At 36.9% G+C, this 27178-nt stretch overlaps 1 protein-coding gene across 2 annotated transcripts in view, besides 1 other annotated feature; it reads left to right on the top strand.

The window, feature by feature from the left end:
• Nucleotides 1–27178, top strand: part of LHFPL6 (LHFPL tetraspan subfamily member 6) — a 260302-nt gene that overhangs the window by 173947 nt on the left and 59177 nt on the right. The gene's annotated exons all lie outside the window — the stretch shown is intronic.
• Nucleotides 11262–12204: an enhancer, noted in NCBI's record as "H3K27ac hESC enhancer chr13:39991180-39992122 (GRCh37/hg19 assembly coordinates)". NCBI's record gives its function as "activates a minimal SCP1, AML or CMV promoter by ChIP-STARR-seq in primed H9 embryonic stem cells {active_cell/tissue: H9 hESC(primed)}" and the evidence as "EXISTENCE:reporter gene assay evidence [ECO:0000049][PMID:30033119]".

The following is a 27178-nucleotide window of genomic DNA, read 5'->3' as shown; positions in this document are numbered from 1 at the left end:
TATAGTCAGAGATTTTGATATTCCTCTCTTGAGAATTGATAGAACAATAGAAAAAAAAAACAGTAAGGATATGCACGACTTGAACAACACTGTCAACTTGATCTAATTGACATTTGCACAGTAATCTCCCAAACAACAGCAGAATACACATTTTTTCAAGTGCAAGAGGAATATGTATGATAAAACAAGTCTCAGTAAATTTTAGAAGATTCAAGTCATGTTGTCTGACCACAATGGAATTAACTTAGAAGTAAGTATTATAAAGATATCTGAAAAGTACTGCATTATTTGGAAATGAAATAAGACATTTCTAAATAGCCCGTAAGTCAAAGAAGTCAAAAGGGAAATTAGAAAGTATTTTGAATGGAATGAAAATAAAGAGAAATACATCAAAATTTGTGAGATGCTGCTAGAGCAATATTTAGAGGGAAATTCAGTCTAAAAGAGTATTGCTCCATTAGAATAGAAGTGTCTCAAATCAACTTGCACTTTAAAAACAAGAAAGAGAAATTCAAAGTAAAGGAAATAAATGTCACAATAGAAATCAATGAAATAGAAACAGGAAAAACAATAGAGAAAATTGATGAAACCAAAAGCTTGTTTGTTGAGAAGATTGATAAAAATAATAAAGCTCTATCCAGGTTGATGAAGAAAAAGAAGAGTAGAAAAGATACAAATTATAAATATCAGGAATGAGGAAGGTGATATCACTAAAGATGCTATAGATTACAATGATAATACGGGAAGATTATAAATCACTGCATACCAATACATTTGACAACTTAGATGATGTGGAAAATTCCTTGAAAAACACAAACAACAAAAGGAAACAGAAAATATCAGTAATTCTATATCTATTTTAAAAATCAATTTGTAGTAAAATACCTTCTCTATAAGAAGCTTCATGTCCAGTTGACTTTCCTGATGAATTCTATGAAACTTTTAAGAAAAAGTAATATTAATTCTACAAATCTCTTGCAGAAAATTGAATAGGAGAGAATACTTCTCAATTCATTTTATAAGGCCAGCATTATGTATAAGGCCAGACAAAGACATTCAAGAAATGAAGCTGTGTTAGTTCATTCTCATACTGCTAGAAAGAAATACCTGAGACTGGGTAATTTATAAAGAAAAGAGCTTTAATTGGCTTATAGTTCCAATGAGCCAAGTAAACAGTTCCAAAGAGGCTGGACAGGAAGCGCAATCCTAGCATCTGCTTTGCTTCTGAGGAGGCCTCAGGAAACTTACAATCATGGCTCAAGGTGAAGCGGGGAGCCAGCACTTCACATGGCTGGAGTAGGAGGAAGAGAGAGCGGGAAGGTGCTACACATTTTTAAACAACCAGTTCTCTTGATAACTCTATCAAATTAACTAAGATGACGGTGCTAACCATTCATGAAGGACCCACCCCTGTGATCCAGTCATCTTCCACCAGGCCCTACCTCCAACACTGGGGATTACAATTCAACACGAGATTTGGGTGGGGACATAGATCTGAAGCATATCCGAAGCCTACAAATCAGTATCACTCATGAACCCTAGTGCCAAATTTCGTTACACTTTTTAGCAAGTCATATCCAATAATGTGTAAAAAAATTTTTTTACATATTGATGATGAGGTGGAATGTATCCCAGTAATGCAGGGCTCATTTAACATTGAAAAAAAATCAATTTAAATGACAGTGTTTTTAGAAGTTTAAAAATTAAATCATCTGGTCATTTCAATAGATGCAATAAGAACATTTTACAAAATCCAACAGCTATAACTGATAAAAACTCTTAGCAAACTAGGAATAGATGGGAACTTCCACAGCTCAATAAAGGACACATATGAAAAACCTATAGTTAACATGATTTTTATGGTGAAAGACTGAATGTTTTCTCCAATGATCAGGAACAAGGCCAGATGTCCTCTCTATCTTTCATTAAACATTGAACTGGAGATTGTAATCACTGGAATAAAGCAAGGAAAAGAAAGAAGACAAACCCAGATTAGAAAGGCAAACTATTTTTATTCTCAGATGCCATGTTCGTCCGTATAGGAAACAAGAGGGACTCCTCAAAGAAGCTTCTTGAACTAATAGATGAATTTAGCAAACTTCAGGATACAAAATCACTTCAAATAAAAAGTATTTCTATTTTAATATATTATCAACAAGCACATATAGGGCAAGCTTTTTTTTTTTTTTACAAAGATGCAAAGGCAATTAAGGCAATTCAGTGGAGAAAGAATATTTTTTTAAATAAATAAAGCTAGAACAATTGGATGTTTAAATGCAACAAAATGAAATTTGATCCATATCTCACAGCATATACAAAAATTAACCCAAAATTGGTCAATACCTAAATGTAAAACCTAAAATTATAAAAATATATAAGCAAACATGGGAGAAAATCTTTGTGACCTTCAGTTAGTCAAGTATTTCTTAGATACGATACCAAATGCTCAATCAATAAAAGAACAGATGGATAAACTGGAGATAATAAAATTAAAACATTATCTTCACTAAAATATTTCTAAGGGTAAGCAAACTATTTTATGTACGTACAATAGAATATTATTCAGCCATAAGAAAGATTGAAGTTTTAATATGTGGTGCACCGTGGGTGAACCTTGAAAATGTTATTCTAAGTGAAATAAGCCAGAAGCAAAAGGTTAAATACTGTATAATTTCACATACCTGAAATATTTAGAATAGGCAAATTTATAGAAAATAAAGTAAATTAGGCCAGGCGCGATGGCTCACACCTTTAATCCCCGCACTTTGGAAGGCCGAGGTGGGTGGATCACCTGAGGTCGGGAGTTCGAGACCAGCCTGACCAACATGAAGAAACCCCACCTCTACTAAAAGTACAAAATTAGCCAAGCGTGGTGGCACATGCCTGTAATCCCTGCTACTCGGGAGGCTGAGGCAGGAGAATCGCTTGAACCCGGGAGGTGGAGGTTGTAGTGAGCCGAGATGGTGCCATTGCACTCCAGCCTGGGCAACAAGAGTGAAACTCCATCTCAAAAAAAAAAAAAGAAAAAGAAAAAAAGAAAAGAAAGTAAATTAGAGCTTACCAGGAGCTGGAGGGAATGGAGAATAGGGAGTTATTGCTTGATGGTTACAGAATTTCTGTTTGAGGTGATGAAAAAGTTTTGGAAATAGTGGTAATGGTCACGTAATATTGCAAATCTATTTAATGCCATTCACTTGTACACATAAAAATAGTGAAAATAGCAAATTTTATGATATATATTTTTTACCACCATCTTAAAAAAGACTATTAACAGAATGAAAAGACAGTGGGCCATGGTAGCTTGAACCTAGAATCCCAGCTACTCTGAACACTAAGGCTGAAGGGTCACTTGAGGGCAGGAGTTTGAGACCAGCCTGGGCAGCATAGTGAAACCATGTCTCATATTTTTTTTAAAAAGGAGAATGAAAAGACAGGTTACAGATGAAGAGAAAATATTAGCATATTGTATGTTGATAAAGGACTTGCGTCAGAATATATAAAGAACTCTCAAAACTTCATAATAAAATAATCCATTAGCAAAAATGGGAAAAAGATTTGGACACTTCATCAAAAACAATATATGGACAGCAAATAAGCATATAAGATGCTCCACATCATTAGATATTAGGGAAATGCAAATCAAAAACCACAATACACTACCACTTCACACGTATTAGAATTGCTAAAATTAGAAAGGAAAACCATACAAAATATGGGCGAGGATGAACTGGAGTTCTCATAAACTGCTAATGCAGTTTGGCAGTGACTTCAAAAGTTAAACACTTACTGTATGGCTCAACCATTCCACTCCTAGGTATTATCCCATAAGAAAAGGAAATATATGTCCATATATACATAGACTTGTATACAAATGTTTATAGCAGCTTTGTTTGCAATAGTCAAGCACTGGAAAGAACACAGACATTATCAACAGGTGAATGGATAAGCAAATTGTGATATACCTATGCAATGGACTGTTACAATAAAGATGAATGAACTATTGATAATATGCTCAATTAGGGTGACTCTCAAAATCATTATGCTGAGTGAAAGAAGCCAGATGAAGAGTACATATGTATTATTTCATTTATATTCTCTAAACTCCAGAGAATACAAACTAACCTGTTATGATTGAAAGCAATCCATAGTTGCCTGTGGATTGGAGGGAGAAGTGCTGGCAGGGGTGGAAGGGAGGGTTACAAATGGGAACCTTTGGGGAGTGATAGATATGTTCATTATCTTCATTGTGGCCATGGCTTCCTGGGTATACATATGCCTAACCTTATCAGATTGTACCTTTCAAATACGTGGCATTTATTATATGTTGCTTGTACCTAATGAAAATGTCTAAAACAATTTAAGAGTACAAAATAAAACTGTAACTTTAGTACTCAAATAATGCTACGATTCTTTGCCCTATTACTTTTAAGACTTCTGGGAAATAGTCTAGAAATGTGCAGTGCCCTCTCTCTAATTTTCACATTAATATATTACAGAAATGAGATATGATAGCCACAGAGATTCCAGATCTCTGAAATTATACCAGTACATTTTCCTCATTTTGAAAAATTGCAGTACCATTTTTTTCACTTTGTAACAATCCCCGTAATATTAAATTGGATGTTATCTTACTACCTGTTTATGTGACTGTGGACTGGCACATAAACAGGTGATAAATTTTTCTGTAGCTCCACTTTGCAATTTCCTTTACTCGGGTGCCCTTCTACTTCACATTCACACAATAGGGATGTTTCCTTCATAGCCCACATTATCAACCATACGAGGCTGAGCTCCTGGCGCAGTTGCTGACAGCTTTATTCAATAACCTATTCATACCTACCTGGTGTTTCTCATTTTTCACAGTTTTCATTTATTTAAGCTTTCTTACAACTTTATTCCTTTATTGTGTGATTCCTTTATTCCTTTATTGTGTGATTCCTTTATTCCTTTATTGTGTGATTCAGACCCTAAGATGGAAATCTACTTCTAATTTTCATTGACTTTCCAGATCTAAGGTCAAATTATTTTAAAACCTTTTGTATTATTCACTTTCACAGTATTTGGGTTACACTTTCATTTTAATGCATGAGCTACTTTAGGAAAAACGATAATTTTCTATAACTATTTTGTATGTGCTCTTTAAAAATATATAATATGTGTTGTGTATCATATATAATATAAATAATACATATGCTGGCTCATAGGAGTTCAATACAGAGATTTTACCTTCTTCCTTCCCCTTGCCTTTACTGTAGCTCCTGCCACTCCCATCCCTCACCTGCTGTACTGTTGCAGTTTCTCAATTGGTTTTACTGGGTCGAATTTCTCCTACTTCTAATCCAATTCTAACCAGAGTGAGCATGTTAAAATATAAGCATGTCACAGTACTGCAGAGGATCCTTCCCCAATTCCATGTTGCTTTGATAAAAGCATCCAGACAACTCCACATGACTTATGTGAGGTCCAGTGTGCCCTGGCACTACTTTATCTCACTTGCTCTGTTTCCTTTCTCATGCTTGACTCTTTCTACATTGAAATTCTTTCAGGTCTTTGTCACAGATATTGATTCCTATGCCTGGGATCACTTTTCCTCACCTCACATGATTCTCATGTATCCTTTGTGTGTCAGCTTTTGCATTATGTTCCCTGAGAAAAATTAGCCAGCCATGGTGGTAGGTGCCTGTAATCCCAGCTACTCAGGAAGGTGAGGCAGGAGAATCGCATGAACCCAAGAGATGGAGGTTGCAGTGAGCCAAGGGTGTACCACTGTGTTCCAGCCTGGGCAACAAGAGTGACACTTCATCTCAAAAAATAAAAAAAAAAAGAAGCCTTTCTTTCCCCAAGCTGAGTGTGATGCTTTGCCTTTGTGCATTGCGAAACATCCTGTATTCCTCCTGTCAGATCCTTTAGATTTATTGCATTATGTAGTTGAAAAATATATGCTTCAAATACTCCTGAAGCAAGATTTAACTAAAGCCATTTGGCACATAGAAGTGTTGTTGATATTCTAACCAAGTAAATCTTTGTGTAATGTCTTAGATAATCTGAGTACTACAAGAGATTTGTTGAGAATTATACACAAGTAGCATCCTTTCTTTGATTCTTGGTGATGTGGTTTGGCTGTGTCCCCACCCCAATCTCATCTTGAATTGTAGTTCCCTGTAATCCCCACATGTCATGGGAGGCACCTGGTTGGAGCTATTATAATTTAAACATGGGGCTGTTACCCTCATGCTGTTCTCGTGATAGTGAGTGAGTTCTCATGAGATCTGATGGTTTTTTAAGGGGCTTTTTTCCCTTTTGCTCTGCACTTTTCCTTGCTGCTGCCATGTGAAGAAGGACGTGTTTGCTTCCCCTTCCGCCATGATTGTAAGTTTCCTGAGGCCTCCCCAGTCCCATGGAACTGTGAGTTAATTAAACCTCTTACCTTTATATATTATCCAGTCTTAGGTATGTCTTTATTAGCAGCATGAGAATGGACTAATACACTTGTCTTCCTTACAAGCCACACAAATGAGGCTCCTAACCCAAAATAAACTGCTGAAGGAAAGGAGTTGTCATGAGAACTTTCCAGATAAAAGAGTGTATTTTTATAAGGAATTTGTAGCTGTTGCGCATTGTGTTTTCTTCTTCTTCTTCTTCTTTTTTTTTTTTTTTTTTGAGTTGGAGTTTCGCTCTTGTTGCCCAGGATGGAATGCAATGGCACCATCTCAGCTCACTGCAACTGCCGCCTCCTAGGTTCAAGCAATTCTCCTGTCTTAGCCTCCTGAGTAGCTGAGATTACAGGCATGTGCCACCATGCCTGGCTAATTGTTTGTATTTTTAGTAGAGATGAGGTTTCTCCATGTTGGTCAGGCTGATCTCAAACTCCTGACATCAGATGATCCGCCAAAGTGCTGGGATTACAGGCGTGAGCCACTGCTCCCGGCCTGTGTTTTCTTCTTGACGTTAACTGCACCAGCATAATTATTTTAGAATTCATTATACCTAACATTAGAACATACCATATAGTCTGCTGCCACTTACATAGAAGATTATGATAGCAGCACAGCTTCTCTCATAACTTGTCATTTCCTGGTACTTGCTCCCAGGTTATTGACCTGTGATTAACAAATAAGGCTAGAACAATTGGATGTTTAAATGCAATACAATGAAATAACAAAATCTGCTAAAAAGGGCATGAGATATGATCATCTCCTGAAGACTTAATCATTAGTAATAATAGTAATGGTAGCAACAATAAAAAACCCAAACCAATTGTTTATGATTGCCTCATTCTTTGTGTTACTGGGCTAGCCAAGTATTAAGACAACTAGTCTACCTGACCATTCTTTATGAGTGTACAGATTCCTCACATTGGTTTTGTAGGTGTGCATTTCTCCAGGTAAAGGAACAGAATTCAAATATGTCATATAAAAAGATTTTTTCATATAGCCAACCTTCAAATTATTAATGTGACAGTCTGAAACCATTTTTCAGCCTTTTCCATCCTCTCCCCAATATCCTTTTATTGGACTGCTTTGGGGAAGTAGAAACAGATGACAGCTGTGAATTTCCAAAATAGTCCCCATTAATTTCTCCACTGTTTACCAGTGGGAATGAACTTGGAACCTTGAACTTGTCCACCCGTTAATGTGGGATCTTGCCATTTGAATATTCAATTGGAAATGATGATAATTTTTATCATGAAACATCTGATTTCATACCTTGTAAACCAAAAAGTGGAACAGTAGACTGTCATCCACCCAGTGAAATCTCCTAAATGACAATGAGAATTTTTTTTAATTTTTTTATTATTTCAATATGCAGGATCAGTCATAATGCTGGAATCTATTTCATCACAGTATGTGTGTGTTTGTTGTGTTATGAACCTAAGACTTCAAGTTGTAGAATTCAACATTTAGTAATATCTCTGAGAAATTTTTAAATTATTGGTTATATTTTATGAAAAGTTTAAAGCAAACATTTTTATCATTGAAGAATTTTAAACCAATAAGCAAATATGATACCTGAGCATCACTTTGGTGAATTTTGGAGTTTTACTTTCAATCTTTTGCCTTTTCTCCATGATGGGAAGGCTTTCTTTTAGGGGATATAACAGGAGAGTAAACGGGCATTCACACTTGTGATTTAGTTTTTTTTGTTGTTGTTGTTATCTGATAGACAGATATTGGATATTGCTACCACTAGGAATAAGAATGCCTTCCTGGCAAAACAGAAATGATAAAGCACAACTCCTTTTCAATTCTGTTACCAAAGTATTTCCTAGTTTTGAGGGGGGGGAAAAACACAGATTCAGAACCTAAAGATATGATATTGCTGTCTATAAGAACGGAACTATATGAAGGAAGTTCTTTCCAGGACACGTAACTTCAGGACTTCTGGTACAAATTGAGAAACTTCTGGGCAAATACAATCTATAGAACTTATAACAGTTTTTATCTTGCTACTGTTGTTGTTTGCGACAGCATACCATGAGGGTCTTCTTTTCCTGTCTCTCACCAAATTCATATCCCTCAAGTATCTCTTACAAGGAAGGAAAGTGAAAATAAAATTATTTACACTTTTCAAACAGCCTCTTGAAAGTTTTCTAACTTTTGACCAAGTTCACCTCCTTCTTCCCTACTGAAAGTCTTGAGATATTAATTTCCCTACTCAAACGTCACAAACCCCACTTCCTTCAGTATCTACAAATCAGTTCTGGAAGGGAGTCTTGGGTTATACTCATGTATTTTAAAAATCTTGTCATTTTGATACATTAAGGAAACCGGTGTGGTTGTTCCCAGTTTCTGGCTGGTAAGCACTCTCCTGTTTGCTTCTTTTAGAACAGTTCTTTTAAGTGCTTGTCTTACTATTTCTCCCCCATGATGCTGGCAACATTCATTGCTACTTACAGAAAGAAGACACAAAGGATGAATGATCCATTAACCAAACCTACCTAAAGAGGTTCAAATTGAGGTATGGATTACATTTTGATGGGCAAAGGCGTACTCTGTAAGTTGAGGATTATATAGTAACCCAGACCTTAATCTTCAGACACTCCAAAGTCTTTGGAAAATAAGCCTTATTTCTGAGAGTGTGATGTGCCTCAATTAGGAAAAGAGCTGTGGGAGAAGAGTGAATACAGACTCCAGATAGCCTGATTTGAAGGAGGCTTGCCTGTTAGCGTAAAGGCCAGGGGCAGCTAAGCAGGTGCAAACACAGCTGGTGATCCAGACCTTCTAGGAACACACAGGCTGTTAGGCTGTGCATTTTCTATAAAAGCGCTTTGTGCTTTGTTCACTTTATTGAAAATCATTATTCTCGACATTTTTACTTCTGTAAAAGAAATATGTATCTTATTAAGAGTTATAAAAAGTACTTGGATTTTTAAATATATTTCTAAAAAAAATTTAGTCAATCATAACCTATATTGGTGAGGTTTACCTTAGGGAAAGACTCTCAGGAAAAGATAGAAAAATAACTTATGAACTCTTTGCAAGCAGGAGAATATGATTGTTAAAAATCTATATGGGCCTAATATTTATACAACTCGAAATGATTAAATTTTTTAAAAAAATTTCTTCATCTGTCCTTCATTTCTGAAATGATTAAAACCTTTAAAAAAATAAGATTTAGAAAGAATCATGAACTTAAACTACTTTGCTCAATTAGGAATATTACAACTTTAGTAAAAGCTAAAACATTTTGATTCATTTCAGAAGACTAATTCAACTCTTATTTCACATATAATGAATGAGACATTTATTGGTTATAAAGCTTTTCACTTTTTGTTTCCTTACTTATCCAGAGAAGAGGATGGGAATACCAAATATGTTTTGAAACCATTTCATCCAAAGCTGGCTGGAAATGTTTCTCTTTTTCTTTGTTCAATGATAGGTAAAACACTGTAACTTTAGAGCACTGTGATCACATTAGTGACATCAGCTTAAACTTAGGGACTAGGGAGAGATGAAGGAATTGTAGTTGTATTTCACAAGAAGTCCAGAGTAGAGAAACAACTCATTATTTGCCATTTTTTTCACATCTAAAAGTGTTCTCTTTCATAAGCAAGATTGGGGTCAGGACAAAAGGGAGTGCAGCCTGTTCTGGGTTTTGTTGAAGCTGTCTCCAGAAGCTAAGTAGATGGACTGGTACAGCCCACATTTGAAATGTAGACTGATTCACCTACTTACTAATTGGGAAGCTAAATCCATGCCCTAACCATTTCTTAAAAAATAAATATTATAAAATAAAATAAGGAAAACATTACTGAAACGTTTAAGGAAGGTGAATCTGTGGAATCTGTATTCTGATCATTGGGCAGCAATATTTGTGTATCACTAAACATTACACCCATTTCCCACCTTTATCTCCCAGGCAGCTCAGGATGAATGGGATTCTTTACATGCTGTAAAGTCGGCAAGGCTGTTTGGTCACAGCAGAAATTTCATGTTAATGCCAAAGATTACTAGAGTAGAAGATAGGAAAGGCAAAGCTGTTTAATTTTGTCAAAGATAAGACAATATTGTGAGGTTTCTGTGACTGAATCAGATATTGTATTTTATAAATGAAGAAAATGCACAACCGCTATTGGGAGCTTCAAGGAATTCTGCTTTAATGAGGGGCCTTGCCGATCTTTATCATTTAAAGTGGATGATAATCTTTAGGGGCTGCACACATTCAAGCTGACATTCTCTTCCACCCTACTTTTAATATGCAGCTTTTACTTCCCCCAGACGCTACTTGCATTGTTAGGAGATTTCTGGATAAAATGTACATAAGTCTGTTAAAAATAAGGGAGTAAGAGAAAAGTTAGACATGGCCAATTCCTTTTACTCAGATTTTAGTTATATGGCATTCTGGAAAAAAAAAAAAAAAAAAAGACCAAAAAAACTTTACCCTTTAAAAAAAAATCTTATTTTAGGAATCAGAGCATACTTCTAGGCAATCATTTCATTTTGAATCTATTATATTCCATTTGTTCTTTAAGTTCATTGAATATTTAAAAATCCCTGCAGCATTTTTTTCAAATCCCATGTAAAGAATTAGCAGCTAATTTGGCATACTACAGTATTCATAAGATAAAATATGTAAGTAAGATTGACCAGGACTTACTTGTTTATTTCATGCATTCATTTATTTTACCAGGACAGGGTGGGAGTGGGATGGTGGAGTGGGAAGAGTAGATGTGGGGTTTGTTTGGTTTTGTTTTAATTTGGGCTTATCTTAGAAGATGTGAAATGCCTTGTTTTGATGCAGATCTGTCTGTGGATTGGGTGCTAGGACACAAGACTAACACTCTTTCTCTCCCCACATAATGCTCTAAATCTTGCAACAATACTGACTCAATGACTTCAAATCCCATGCTCCTTTCTTCCTTTCTTTCGCTTTCTAAACATGTTTGTGTTATGAATCATACTCAGACACAGGGCCCATTTGATGGCTGGGGCTGGGTCTCCTTGTCACCACCCCAGTCAATTGGAATGCAGCCCACAAAGTCGCCCCTGCCCCGGCCCAGGAGCTCCGCCTGGCTGGGTGAGTTCATTGATGTGCTGAATATCACAAAGACTTAATTCTGTGCTGAAAGGTTAAAAAGAAGCGGGGAGGGGAAAGAAGAGAGGAATAAAGATGAGGTCCGTGGAGAATGGTTAATTCAGCTAATGAATTTTTGCAGAATGGCTAACAAGGAAGAATTTTGCTTAAGGAAAATTGGTCCTTGATGTGACTCCTTCCCTCCGTCTCTTTTGCCTTTTGAGCGGGTGGAAAGTTAGAGGAGCTGTTAGTTAAATGACAGAGGGAAATAGAAAGATGTATTTTCAAAAGGCAAAACAAAAACTACCACTTTGGCTTCCAATTCATGCTTTGAGGAATGTCAGCTTCTCACAGCGTTGCTCCGGCCGCCCCTGCCCCATTTAATATTATGCAGCTGGTGTGACCTAATTTAGCCTCTGGGGGCACCCAAGTCAGAGCAGTTGAGGGCTTCACACAGATTCTTCTGCAACATGTCTGTTAACCAACAGTGCCTTTGGGAAAAAGCTTGGGTAGTTAGTCTTTTTGGTAGAGTCCAGTCCTGTCCTGTTTCAAGAGGGATATGAATAAGGCAGGATGATTCCAAAGAAGAGAAAAGACACTGGACACTGGTAAGAAGTGTAATAAAAGCAACTTGGCCTATCCCACCTTTGTTTCTTCCTGGAGTTAAGAGGAGTCTCCCTACACCTTCGGGCTCTTCTAAACTTGGAATAACCTAAATGTATCGGCAGGCTAGAAGAAATCTGCAGATGACATTTTAAAACAAAAACATGTTCATGTTTAAGAAGAAAACCCTTATGTGATTGTACAAGATGTATTCATTATTCAAGTACCTGTGACAAATGTTCATATGCCTATGGTAGACAAGAAGATAAAAATAGGTGCTGGGACTAGCAGAACTCAGGTTTTAACAACTTTAGGAGGAAAATTTGATTTGCATGCCATTTACAAATTTTTTCTACCACCTCTGACATCAGAATTATAAATGTTTAAAAAACTGCACAATGACTTTATAACTTTCCTGTATTTGATTTATGTTCACACAAACTGTAAAAGAGAGAAAGCTAGCACTTTCTCTTTTCTCTTGCAATTACATACTGCATTCACACATTAAGTACATGAAACTGATACCACTGTTCTCCAGCTGCAGACTTTTGACTTTATTGCCCAAATATTCAGAGGTTGTATGGAAAAGGAGCTCAAGGTAGGGGAAGGGAAAAGGCATTTTATTCTCTACCTTTTTGTCCTTTAAACTGTATGATCAAAAGTATCATTGTGTGGCACCACAGTTGGGGAAAACATAGAGTAAATGAACTGGAGAATGAATTGGCCTAATATAATGGAGTTTCATGCCTCCTCTTTTTTTTTTTTAACATATTAAGGTTCATTCATTCAACAAACATGTGCTAAGCATCTGTAATATGTCTGGCATTGTTCTCAACCCTTGGGATACATTAATGAACAAAACAGATAAACATATCAGCCCTCCTTGGGTTTATATTCTAGGGCTTGATCATTGAGTCAATAGAACCTGATTCAAATTGTTCAGATTATTTTTCCCCACATAGTCTTACTACTCTTACTCTCATCAAAGACGTCAGTTCATATTAATTTTCTTTACCATTTCTGTTGCAATTTACATTTGCTCAGTACTCTAACTTCAGTCGTTACCCAAGGAGACTGCATAATCTCATTTCTTGGACATTTCTTCATTTCACATCCATTCTGTCATTATACACTTGCTATGGACAGAGAATCTAGGGGTGATGTCTGAAGGACCTTTCTAGTCCTGATTCTGCAAATATCTAAGCATCAAATGTCTACTCAAGGTAGGTAAGTATTGTTTTCTTTCTTTCTTCGTAATGTATTGAACAAAGTTCAAGGAGGCAAACTGGCTGCAAATGAGAAAGGCTTGAAAAGTGTCAAGGTTTAGACTTCTCACTTTGAATTCAGCACTGAGACTATGAAGCTTTGCTGCTTGTTGTATTTATTCTCCCATTCATTTATGCATTTATTAATCCTTCATCCAGTACACCTTCGGTTACTGCAAAACTATGAGCCAGACACTGCCCCAGCTGCCAAGGGGAGCAAAGATATGCCAGAAAGCCACTGCCCCCTGGAGTTCAGTCTGGTGGGGCACCGGGATGCTTCTTTGCAAGCACAGTTCTTAATTTCAATTCATGAAGGACTTAAGTGTTTCTTCAGCTTGCTTTTGTTTTTTGTTTTTTTTTTTTTCAGTATTTTTATGGCAAGCTGTCTTTGCCAGCAGAGGAATACACTATTAACATGTTGAACACAGACCTGAGTTCTTCCACATGTGCGTATGCATACACATGCATGTGCATACACATGCACAAAAATTTGTTTTTCCTCAACTTTGCTGAACTACTTTTCCTTCAGTTATCGGCTGAGGCAATATAGTAGTATGCAAGCTTTTCAGAAATCCAACGGGATTCATGCCCAGCTGAGTTATTTCACTCTGCGTTCTGTGTCAGTTCCTGGAAATTAACAATAGAGCATTTCACTTTGGTCTTTGATCCCACCAGCTCAGTCATGGTATTTTTCCAGATGTTTCCGTCTTAGGTTGCTATTACAAAAAAGCACAGCACAAGTTAAACTAGGACAAGTTGGCCTGTCCTGGGGTCTGAGGAATGTGTTTTCCACCAAATAAACTGGTCATGTGCCACAGACGGGTTAGAAAGGGAAACTCAGACTTTATAATCAGAGTGATCCTTTTCATTGTGTGTTTAGGAAAAAGTACCATGTCCACCCCCAGTAATTTGACTCAAGACCCTGTAGCTTCTCAAAGACATTGATTTGGCCTGGTTCTAGTAAAAATGATTTGTGTTTTGAAATAAGTTACCATGCTATTTTCTCTCAGGTTAATTTACCCTAGCCTGTATAATACTCTTAGGGGTCTAAATGCCAACAGGCATAGGAAAAAACCTCAGTTGCCAGTAATTATATCATTTAGGTGGTTGGGCAGAGATAAGACAAATAATTGGTGTTATCATGCCTTCTATCCAAGTTTTGTAAGCAAGAATTTCATAGCATGTTTTAACACAAATGGCAAAAAAAATAAGCCCACAGCAGCTTGAAGCATTATATGTGAAATTTACTAAACTAGAAATAAGAAGAAGAAGTGAAAACAGTACCCCAAGAAAGTCCCAGAAGACTGATAACACCAAATGCAGGGGCCCTTGCTCTACCTCAACTCCAGCCCAAATCCACCATGAAGACTCCCTCAGTTGTCCTGAAACACATGCCCTGAAGCATAATGTGGTATTATAAAATAAATTTCCTGAAAAATGACAAGATAAGCTTCTAATGAACTGTGGCTAAAATCTGATACTGGAAAGAGGAAGATGGAAGATGGAATTAGGAAGATGTTGTGTGAATGTTGACACATATTCTCACAGCTAATGCTTATTTTATTAAGCATTTCTCATTTGGTTTGTGCTACTACTAACTCATAACATTATTTATTGAGCTTGATTTCCAAATAGGTAATATCTTTCTAAATGCTTTTATACCCTGTGATCTGGCAATTTCACCCCTCCATATAGTCCATACAAAAATGTATAGATATGTGAATGAAACGGCATATGAGAATGTTCCCAGAATTATTTTTTTGAGCAATCAAACACTGGAAATTGTCCAAATGCCTATGAACAGTAGAGTGGATAAATTGTGGTATATTCACATAATGAAATGCTATGCAGCAATGAAAATAAACCAATTCTAATTATACTCATCACTATGGATGAGTCTCGTAAACATAAATTTGAGTCAAAGAAGCCATAGCAAAAGAGTCCATAATTTATGATTCCATTTATTTAAGTACAAAGAGAGGCAAAACCAATCTATTTTGTCAGGAGGTAGGATAACCCTTGGGAAGGGGTGGTGATTAAAAAGGAATAGAAGGAAGGCTACTGGGGTGCTGGTTGATTCTTTTTAATGTTTGTAAAGTTTACATGGTGTCTTCAGCTTATGAAAATTCCTTGAGCTCTGACCTTATATGTACACTTGTCAATATGCATGTTAGAGTTTAATACACTTGTGCAAATGCAAACATATGTTCACTTATTAAAGACAGCAACACAACAGAAAAATTCATTTAAAACTTACTTAAAGAAAAAAAAAAAAAAAACTAGTCGGTTGTGATGACACACGCCTGTAGTCCCAGATACACAGGAGGTTGAGGCAGGAGGATCTCTTGAGCAGAGAGGTTGAGGCCAGCCTGGGCAACATAGTGAGACCCACCCCCCCTACCCCCAATTCCTAAAAAAAAAAAAAAAAAATCCTGAGTAGTTTCGGGTTTGACATTTAAATAAGAACATAATTTACGAATATTTTAATCTTATTTTCCTACTTTAAAGATTAGGATATTTTCCTGAGTACATATCAATGTGGATACATTTCATAGTTATTATTTGACCACAGGCTCTGAAGAATTGGCATAAAATATTGCATAATACAAGTATGTTAAATTGGATTAAAATGAATAACAAATGCTATTTTTCCTTCGTTAAATATTCCAGATTTCTTTGATTAGATATCATCTCTCCCTCTTTTGAAAGTCCACAATATGTTGTATTTCACTTAGCGATGCATATATTGTACTACTTTGTATTATGTCTAATTTTATAAACTCCTTGGGGTAGAGTTAGGGCTCGTTCATCTTTGAATCTACTGTGATATCTGCAGAAGGCAGGTGTAATATAGTGAAGATGTTAAGAGAGTGCCTACTGGTGCTAGACATGGGTTCAGGTTCCCTTGCTGCCATTTACAATTTTTTTCTTTTTTTTTTTTTGAGACGGGAGTATTGCTCTGTTGACCAGGCTGGAGTGCAATGGTGCAATCTCGGCTCACTGCAACCTCCGCCTCCCGGGTTCGAGCAGTTCTCTGCCTCAGCCTCCCGAGTAGCTGGGATTACAGGAGCCCGCCACCACACCTGGCTAATTTTTTAATTTTTAGTAGGGACAGGGTTTCACAATCTTGGCCAGGCTGGTCTTGAATTCCTGACCTCGTGATCCACCCGCCTTGGCCTCCCAAAGTGCTGGGATTACAGGCGTGAGCCACTGCACCTGGCCTACAATTTGTATAAATTTGGGGAAGTAGTCTCTCTGTACTTCAGTTTCTTCTTTATAAAATGGGAACAATTGTGGCATCTGCCTCTTAATGTTGTGAAATTAATCAATCGCCAGAAAGCTCTGAGGACAGTTCCCAAAACATAGTTAGTTCTCAAGAATTGCTAGCTGCTATTTTTAGGCATGGTAGTATAATTAAGATTCCTGCTGTGATTCCTGAATGAGAAAAAGAAAAGAAAAAAATTAGAAAGACTTAGAAGTAGTGGTCAGTCAAAAGTCATATGTAAAAATCTAAAATTGCTTGGTAAAATTTCTGTCTGCTAATTCCCCAATACAATTTTTTTCTCAAATGTTCTTCAAATAAAGTGCACTGATCATTTATAGTTGAATATTTTCAAAGTGTTCTAAATCAGTCTGGTCATAAACAATTACTAGATTATTTCTTGTAAGTATCGATAGTCTCCTGATTCAGTTAGGTAGGTGGGACCATGGTAATAAATAGACCTAAAAATGTATAACGGTTGAAACACGGTAAAAGTTTATTTCTAGCTCACATTACAGCCCAAGTAGATATTACCAGTCAGCTTCCATATGATGATTCAAGAATCCAGGTTCTATTGATAGGTATACCATCCCCTAAGTCTCTTCTAATACTTATGTCCCACAGAAGTGAAAGAGAGTATGGGAAGCTGTATCCATCTACTTCTTAAAAGCCATGATGAGAAACAGCACACATCACTTACTCCCATATTCCTTAGCTAGATTTCACTTAATGGCCACATCCCACTGAAGAGACACTGGGAAATACAGTTTAAGTATGTGCCTCAGAAGGAGAAATTGAATTTTGTAAATAGCTGGCAGTGCTTGTCATTATTTAGAGGTAGGCAAGGGCTATAGTTCTACTTCCCGACAATTCCATTGCAAATACAGAAGCATACTCATAACATTCCCACACAGATATGTCATAGCAATCAGGCCCCAGTAATCATAGCGCCTTTTCTGAAGCTCATGAAAGTCCCAGGTCTCTGTCCCTGTAGGTGCTTCAATCACAGCTGATATGAAAGGGTCCTCGTGAGATAAACACAACACTATTATAAGGGCAGGACTTGGTTAAGCTTAGAGAAGGAATAAGGCAACCGAAGTCCTGTGAATCATGCTTGGATATACCACTATTTTGGAATCAAGTTCAGCAACCATTTCAAAAAGCACCTCACTTCCAAAAAGTGGCTCACCTCCTTAGCTCCCTGGATTATTCTAGTGTTACACATAAAAGGGAAGAATGTCTTTAGATTCTATCCAAATCCACATATATTGAGCACCAATAATTTTACTAACAAAAACCCCCACCTCTTATACCCGTTTTGCCAATTAGAAAAACTTCTCAGGTTGGTGTGGACATAAAAATAAGGAAAGCAGATCTGTAGCAGCCACCCTGGAGTGTGGCCTTTTGATGAAATATTAGCAACTACAGTTGATGTGCATATTCGTACATAGAGCAACTCACTGCCCCCAGGAATAAACAGGTTATTCACGCATACATATCATACTACCCGTGCAGACATGTGTTTATTATAGGCAGCAAAATATTATAAAAGGTAAATTTAGCCTTTTATTTAAATATCCCTCTGACAGAGATTGTCACTAAGGAAGGCTCCCCTATAATAAACCGCTTATTTATAATACAATGGTTTAATATGTAATAATTGCTTGAAATATGGAATGTTGTCCGTAAGCCAAGCAGTTGTGTGATCAGGAAGTTGTAGATTTCTCTTTTTCCCTGCAAAGATTGATAGGGGACAATGACTTCTTGATTCAATAACCTTCGGAAAAGGAAGTAGTGAAATGTTAACATTCTTCAAAGACTTGACTTTTGAAAAGCATCCTGAAGCCACTGTGGGCTGATTGATCATCTCAGTGGGGGTGTCCTCTGGGAGGTTTTGTACAAAATACTCCTGGATTGTGCAATAAGGAGCTGCATTTCTCCAGAACATGAGAAATATCTGTTGTGAATGTTATTCATACATTTTTTTTGGATACTCAAAAATTCCTGTTTTTCGTGACTGTCTTTTGTTGGTTTTGTCATTGTTGGTGGGATGGGGAGAAAGAGGATCTGTTTCTCTGAAATGATATTTGAAGTATGTGTTTAGATCCTAGATGGAGAGTTCACTTCTAAGTTGTGTAATAACATTGTTTTCAAGTTTAGTGGTGGTGTTCCATGGGGATACTGGAGACCACCCTACTTGTGCTTGGGGGCTGCTATCTTCATTCATTGTGGTTTTCACCATGGCAATGGGAATAGAATTTTCAGCTCTCTGAGCTCTTCTGCATTCTTAAGTAAGCTTGCATAATACTGCTGAGGACAAAGCAGTTGCCTGCTGAAAGCCAAATGAATGCATAAATTTGGCCTCAAGATTTTTGAACTGTTGTGAAAGAGTTTTTGTGTCTTAGGTTTCTTTTTTTCTTTCAAATCACCACTAGCAAATTTTTTCTTCAGATGATATCTTTGTTATCCAAAATCTGATGTATAATGAAGGTAGGTAGACAATTTTAACACATGATTTACAAATGAGTTGCAGAGGCTAGGTAAGTCTTTTAAGAGTTTTTATATTAAGTGAAAGCTCCCCTTTTAAACATTTGTCTGGGATTTTGTGCTGGGCATGATCCAACAAAAGATTATTGCTTCTGTAACAAAAATGATAAACTCTGTAGAAGTTGGCTTAGAGATCTTGCCATATTGTTGAATAGCATTGAATGCTATTGAATTATTCTTTTTCTAGATGACTGAGCTAAAAGGAAGCTATTGTTACAGAACAATTTATTTTGGAATTGTTTCTTTTCCTTTTCTTTCTTCCTTTCCTTTCCTGTCTCACATTATATCTTCCCTAACCAAATGACATTTGTAATTACTGTTACCTGAAGACATTCTGGTAAGTTTTACCCAAATAATTCAATGGTTACTTTAGGAAACATAAGAAGTAAGTGCATATATTGAACTGTCATGTCAAATTTGTGTACTGTGGAAGGCAGGCATTTGAATCAATAAGTACAGCTTGGCCCAGAGACATATAAGTCCCTGAAACCCTTCAGGGATGAGAACACTGTGACAACAAATAATGCCTATCAGTGGTGGTCATGCGTAGTATCTCAGTACATTTCAAATGTTTTTTTTGTTTTTTTGTTTTTTTTGTTTTTGAGATGGAGTCTCACTCCGTTGCCCAGGCTGGAGTGCAGTGGTGCAATCCCAGCTCACTGCAACCTCCACCTCCCAGGTTCAAGCGATTCTCCTGCCTCAGCCTCCTGAGTAGCTGGGATTACAGGCATGCATCACCACGCCCGGCTAATCTTTGTATTTTTAGTAGAGACGGGGTTTCACCATGTTGGCCAGGGTAGTCTAGAACTCCTGACCTCAAGTGATCCGCCCACCTCAGCCTCCCAAAGTGCTGGGATTACAGATGTGAGCCACCGCGTCTGGCAGTACATTTCAATTTGAGCTAGGTCTGATGACTCAGGGAATGTCTTGAAGGAAAAATTCATTTAGAAATATGAAACAAAAGGCATTTGGCGCATAGATTTAGGTGATGTCAAAGTTACCTGCTTAACGCTACAAATTCCTCATATCTTAAAGTGCACTAAGCTACTTTCCCACTATCCTGCACAAATGGACCACTACTTTGATTATTGTGATGGCTCTTTACAAAACATTCAGGTGGCTTTGGGTTGGAAAAAGCCAAAAAAGGAGTTTTTACTTTCTTAGATGACCAATATAGTCAATTAAAGAATAATAATAACAACACAAACCTCTCATTCCTTCTATTACTATTACAAATTTTGTTCTAAATTACATTTCTGGTCATGCTGCTGGAAGCTCCAAACTGGATCTGCTTTCTGTTTTGGATGTTGACAGGCAGAGTGTCATTGTGACAGAAGGCATCGGCTGTTTTCCATGGTCCGCTTATATTTGAACCTGACTTTTATTTTCAAAGGCTCAAGCCATAGCAGTTCAACAATAAGGAATAAGTGTTTGTTTTTTGTTTGGTACAAAATATAGGAAAGCACTATAATGAAAATAGAATCGGCCCAAATTATGGGAGAATGCATTGTTTATTAAGTCATTTTAGTTTCCTGTAATAAGAACTGGGAAGTCTCTGGATATTTATAATTGTCTATATGTAAGCAGTAATCCTGGAAGATCTGTGTAAGGATCAAATGAATTGCACTTAATTAAAGTGATTATACCAGGAACTTTCTAACATTGTTTTCAATTTGGGGATGAAAAGATATCTTCATTACTATGGAATAATTCCCTGGCCTTCTGGTCTGATAATCTGGGGAAAGACTTCTGCCTGCATTAGGGCAGTTAAGTTTAGTCTACAAGTTAGCCAAGATATTTCCATAAATCAAATAGCAATTTCAATTTATGTCTGACTTATTAATAAATTTACATTAAACTCAGCTATTTCTTAGCAAAATTGAGTAACTTATTCAATAGTTTTTGACACTTTGGGGAATGCATATATGTTGTATTTACTTATTTTATTTCCACTGTATTTCAAAAGGGATTTGAGATAGCTGAGTATAAACATCCTGCTTTAGACCATGTCAGGTACAAAGATGAGTAAGTAGTCTCTGGCATCCATTTTGGTTACGCTGTTATGCAGAAGGAAAGGGAAGCGTTGAACACTGTGTCCCAGACAGCGTCTGCCACCTTCCATTCATTCTCAGAAGGAAAACTCCCGTTTCTTTCCAAGATAATCCACTACTGTTTATCTGACTCTAAAATTGTTTTTTATATATTTATTGATGGCTAATTAAATGAGTCAACTTTTATAACGTGGTTCTTGAAGAAAAAAGTTGACAGGTCATAAATTCATTGTTAAAAATTATGTGCAAAGGTATATGTTCTGTGTACTTGTATATGAATGGCTCAGTTAATATTAAAGTGGAACACCCTTTTAAAAAATATTTATTAGGTAGTAGAGCATCACTTTCATAGTTCATTACATTTAACTCCTATTTATGGCTCAGATATTTTTTCCATTACAGGCAGATATCTTCTAAAGCATTTCTAAGTCATTTTCCTTAGCAAATAGCAAGTTTTGATGACATGACCTAATTCTTCCAGTTTTCAATTTCTAAGATGTTTGGCCCATGTCCCATTTGGCACTTACCTGGGAAGGATCAAGAATAGTTAGTGAAGATGTTTGTGGCTAAAAGTCTGGAAAATGGAAAACTTACTTGCTGCAGACAAATGCCTTAGCCTGCATCAAGGTGAACTTCAAACTGCAGTATGGCCAGAAGGTGGGGGTACTCAGAAGGGCTTGGTCTGGAAGAATCAGACTCTGCCCTGGGAGTTCTTTCTCAGGCAGAGTATCTATAAAAGGATTGGAGAGATTAGGAAAATCATTAATTACTTGGTCAGTACAGAATTTTTTTTAAATGGGCAGGGAACCCTTGGAATCCAATGGAGAAATTAATTATCTATGAAACTCAAATAAATTTGAATTAATACAACTGAAGCAATGAAGGATGTTAGCTCAAAGCTTCATGTGGGTTGCAAAATTCTGCCAATAGAGGAAAATTAAACAAAGATACGGCTTTAATCTAGCCATGTGTGCTGCAAGACCAGGCAAAGTCTGTAGACCCATGTTGGTTTAATGACTGTCAAACAGGGTTTCTTTGGTGTGTTGATGATGGTGGTGAGAAAAATTACCTTGGATCTCTTGCAATCTCAGAACTTACCTCTAGGCTAAAACCTGCAGTTGATACTCAACCACTCCCAGTGGTTGAACATTTGCTTGTCAGCATGACCACAAAATTGTTTCAGGTGATTCAGTAGTTTCTATAAGACTTAAAATTAAATGTACAGTGTTTAAGAGAATCACCCCATAATATTAAATGCTTTTGTATTAATAAATCTGGATGTATATGGCATTTTAATGTATGAGTATTTTCATTGAACACTGTGATTACATTAAAATGGATAATTGACTATTTTATTCAGAGTTGGGTTTTTAAGTTGAAATTTTAATGTTTTATCAAAAATATTGAACAACTTGAGATAACTTAGGATCCACCGTGTTTGTACTTTAATTTGTTGCATTTACAAGAATTACTTATGTATGTGGTAGTATTTGTTTTTACTCAAACAATTGAGGCAATTAAGGAAATTGAAAAGAAACTTTATAAATATAAGTTTAAAATTTTAAGGAATTTGATTAAATACATGAGACCAGACATTGATCAAAGATTCCCTAAAAGCAATTGTTAATATTTCCTAAATTTCAAAAGAGAATTTTAAAATATTTTAAGTTGGATTTAGAAACTTTGAGAATATTTATTTTGAAAAAAATAAATTCTAGGTAATCTTACCTGTGCACAAAAAGTCATACATTGATACTATCCTGACACAATTCTTCCTCAAATGGTGTATTGTATTACATAACAATGTAAATTGTTATGTAAAACACATCTAACACATTATTATGGTCAAGCCCCTATTGGAAAAGAGTTATCAGCCACTTTCTGTGGCACAGGACTGAGCTGGACCAGGGAGCGAAACTGTACTGTGAATCCTTATTCATTTTCTCATTCATCCCGAACTCTGGTGAGCTCAGCTACAATACAGAATAATAAATTAATGTCAGTCACACCCATGAGGACTCTTTTAATGTTACCCATTGCAAAAATACCTTGGACAAATTCCGTCCTTTGCTTTAATAGGATGAGTCCTGTGGTTAACTCAGATTTCATTTGGAAAAAGAGCTGTCTCTGCCCTCGAGCAACTCGGACTAATCTTGTGTGTCCTTCATTAGTACTTTTACCACATGCCTGTTTTCACCCTGGAGCTCCCTAGAATTTATGCGTACTCTGTCTCTGATGTGGCCTGTGAACACTACCTTAATTTGCAGCACCTGCTTTTGTTATTAGGCAAAAGTGCCTGAGAGCTTCTTTTGGTCTGTTTGTTTGTATGACAGCTTTTTGAAATTAGCAAGAACGTTTCTTGTCCCCTGCCCCCAGTCTGGGTTTCTGCTCAGAAGTTGTCTGTTCATGCTGAATGTAGGAATGGTAGTTTGTGGAGACAGCCCAGAAGATGTTTATATCGTCAAGGATTTGGGTGGAAGATAAAAATGGGAAGAGGGTAAATATTTTAGAGCACATAAACCAATCTGTTTCTTTTAGCACAGCTCTTTGATTCATCAGGCTAATCATTTAAATATTATCCCAAATGCTTGATCAAAATTAAGTAAAGATGACAGTTTTCAAAATGGAGCTCTTTCTTTCACATTTTATGAGTGAATCTGGTTTTCTGACTCAGATAAACAAAAGGCTGCTGACTTATGCAAATGTTTCATATAGCTCAGGAAGACTTGCTGGGTAATGAAATTCAAGGCTGAGACAGAAGGCAGAGTTGGGATGGATAGATAGCCTGTACTACGTGATTTATAAATTAGACCGTCCATGCTCAGTTTCACTCATTTAAGTCAAGGAGGACAGATGTCCACATATGTGTATTACTCTTTATCACCTCACACTCAATTTTATTGGTCTTTGTTTTTGTATATTCTGCATTATCCAGCTCTCTTATGTTACATATGCATTAATTATGCTTGTAAAGAGATTACAAGTTTTTTCTCTGTCACTCCACAGTACCTGTTAGAAAACTGATCACATAGTACTCAAATATTTGGTTAGTTGGCTAGTTTTAATTTGGGGGATTAAGTATCTGTGAAAAGGTAAACATTGAATTTATTGACCATTCATTTTGCACAAATACATATTGTCCTGTCCCAGGTACCGTACCAGATGCTTAGATGCTGTGATAATAAAACAGTCTAGGTCTTGGCTCTCATAGGGTACACCATCTAGGAGGCATAGGGAGGATCAGAACAAAGATGGCATAGCTAAGGATAAAATAAGAAAAAGTACAGAAAGCTATGAGATGGAGCTCATAAATGGCAGAGAAACCTAAATTAGCTGGAGTGATTGTTGAAGTCTTTGCTGGAAAAGTAACATTGAAACCAGTGGTTCCCAAACTTTGGTGCACAATGAAATCATCTAGGGAATCTTTAAAAACATTGCTTTTTAAAACTGAAGCTCCCACCTCCAGTTGTTATTATTTAATTTGTATAGGCTGTGGCCTGGGCATTGGGATTTTTGAAAGCTGTCTGGGTGATTCTAATATGTAGCAGAGTTTGAGAGCCAGTGATTTAGGCCGAGACCTGAAGAGTGAATCAGAATTGACCAGGTGAAGAATTTTGAGGGAATATAGTGTTCTTGAGTTGGAAGGACTGTACACCCAAAGGACTGAAAGAAGGCTTGCTTGTTGGATCAGGGTGAAAAATGGGGCTGTTGACTACTGACTAAACTAGTTTGGTCATGAACAACACTTAGATTGATTTTATTAGTTAGCAACTAAGAAGTTTAAAGTATTATAGGTGAGAGAAAGCCACTCCCTTATCACCTGGCTACTAGGTTATAAAACATGTAAATTTCAAACAAAATTCCATCACGTGCTTATTTAATAAGCAGCCATTAGCAAAGCAGGCACAAAGCAGTTCACACACTGTGTTCCTTGAGCTCCACAAAGTCTCAGCTCTCTATACGTCCAGGTAAGTTGACCTTGCCTTGTACAAAGGTTTACTTGAGGCAAAAACAACAGCATTTATCAGGCATGATTCCAGGCCTTCTACTTGGCCTCATAAATCAGAAATTCTCCTAAACCAATGCTGGGCACATATCCAACTAGGTATCAAGCCACAGACGCCATTTTTCTAAGAGGTACGGGATTCAAGCCTAAGGGATACATGATAACAGGCCTGGCTGGATTCTTACATGTTTATACAGTGGTGGGGGTATGTCCAACATATTTTTACCCATGCACATACTTTGAATATCTTAAACATCACCTAATGAAATTTCATTATTACATCTATCATGCTAATTAGTGAACCACTACTTTCACCAATAAAAATCTAATGTTGATGTTTATTGGCTATTGGCAAAGTTTCTGCTCTTGATCGATATAGAGATAATAAAAGGGCTTGTAGTCGCTGCCTCTGGAGTGTGGCTCTTACTGATTGAATGTTACTTTGCCACCCTAGTCTTGCCTCCTTTATAGCACGTTTCCTTGATGACTCCTGAACATGAAAGTGTAAACCAACTGGTATATGCACAATATCACATTGATTATACTGCAGTAATTTAAAGTAGATTACAGACTGTAACAGAAGAGTAATGGCCATCTCAGAGCCTGGAAAGATTGGAAAGGAGGCAATGATAAAATTCTTCTTGGGTGAGAAAGCTGACACTAATTAACTTTCTTTCTTGCCTATTTATAGAACACAAGAGCCTATAGAGAGCAAGGAAATAAGGAGGAAATGGAGAGCTGCTTGGATGTTCCCTTTTATAAACAGGCAAATTGTCTAGCTCTGTGAATGACTTGAATTGCCACTTGACAAAAGCATTGCTTCTCCCATACCTCACACAATGTATTGATCCCTGTTTTTCCCTATTTCTCAATAGATGGGAGTCTAAATATTAATCAGAAAACTTCTGATACAAGTATTAAATTATCTTGTTATCTCCCTGGGTCACTGTGTGTCCCGTTGAGGGAATTCCTTCGAGGACCCTTTGGTGCTTTTTCAGTAATTAGGTTCCATCTTTGATCAAGAGAAAATCAAAGTGAGGACTTGAGTACTGTGGGAGTCACAGCCCTAACCTCTAGCAGACTGTGAGAGCTACTTTCCCACAGCCAGTTCAAAAGACAAGGCAGGGATTTTAAAATCTGTGTTTGATTTCTTTTTGATACTGCTGGATTACATAGATTAAGCTGCTGGCTACGCCTTTATGCCATTCTCAATAGCAGAGATATTTATGAAGCCTTCTCCATTTCCAGCTACTCTTCTGCTTTTGTTGCCAGAGGATTCGTTTGCCTTCATAGCAGATCATTTTTAGGGTTGCTTTTCATGAGTCTGCATTTTCTGTGCTCTTTTATGTTACAGATGGAGCCTGTGATCCTGGTCTGTATTTGTGTTGTCAATAGAAATATAGTTTGGACTACATATGCCATTTTACATTTTCTTGGAGCTATATTTCTATATTTAAAAAAGCAAAAAGGGCCAGGCACAGTGGCTCATGCCTATAATCCTACCACTGTGGGAGGCCAGGACTGGAGGATCACTTCAGGCCAGGAGTTCAAGACCAGCTTGACCCACATAGCAAGATCCCTATCTCCACAAAAAAATTGCAAAAATACTAGCCAGGCATAGTGGTGCGTGCCTATAGTCCCAGCCACTCAGTAGGCTGAGGTGGGAGGATTGCTTGGGCCCAGGAGTTCAAGGTTACAGTGAGCCATGATTGTGCCACTGCACTCCAGCCTGGGTGACAGAGCAAGACCCCAACTCAAAAAATAATAAAATATTAATTAATTAATTTTAAAAAAGCAAAAGAAACATGAAATTAACTTACATTTTATAGAAATAAGTATATCAAAAATATTGTTGTTCTAACCTGTAATCAGTTCAAAAATATTATGAGGTATTTTACATTCTTTTTTTCTTATGGAGTCTTTGTAATTG

The sequence above is a fragment of the Homo sapiens genome, chromosome 13 (genome assembly GCF_000001405.40).
Source record: "Homo sapiens chromosome 13, GRCh38.p14 Primary Assembly".
In the NCBI taxonomy this organism is placed as follows: domain Eukaryota; kingdom Metazoa; phylum Chordata; class Mammalia; order Primates; family Hominidae; genus Homo; species Homo sapiens.
The sequence above is the reverse complement of the archived record's forward strand: the minus strand, read 5'-3'. Positions and strand labels throughout refer to the sequence as shown.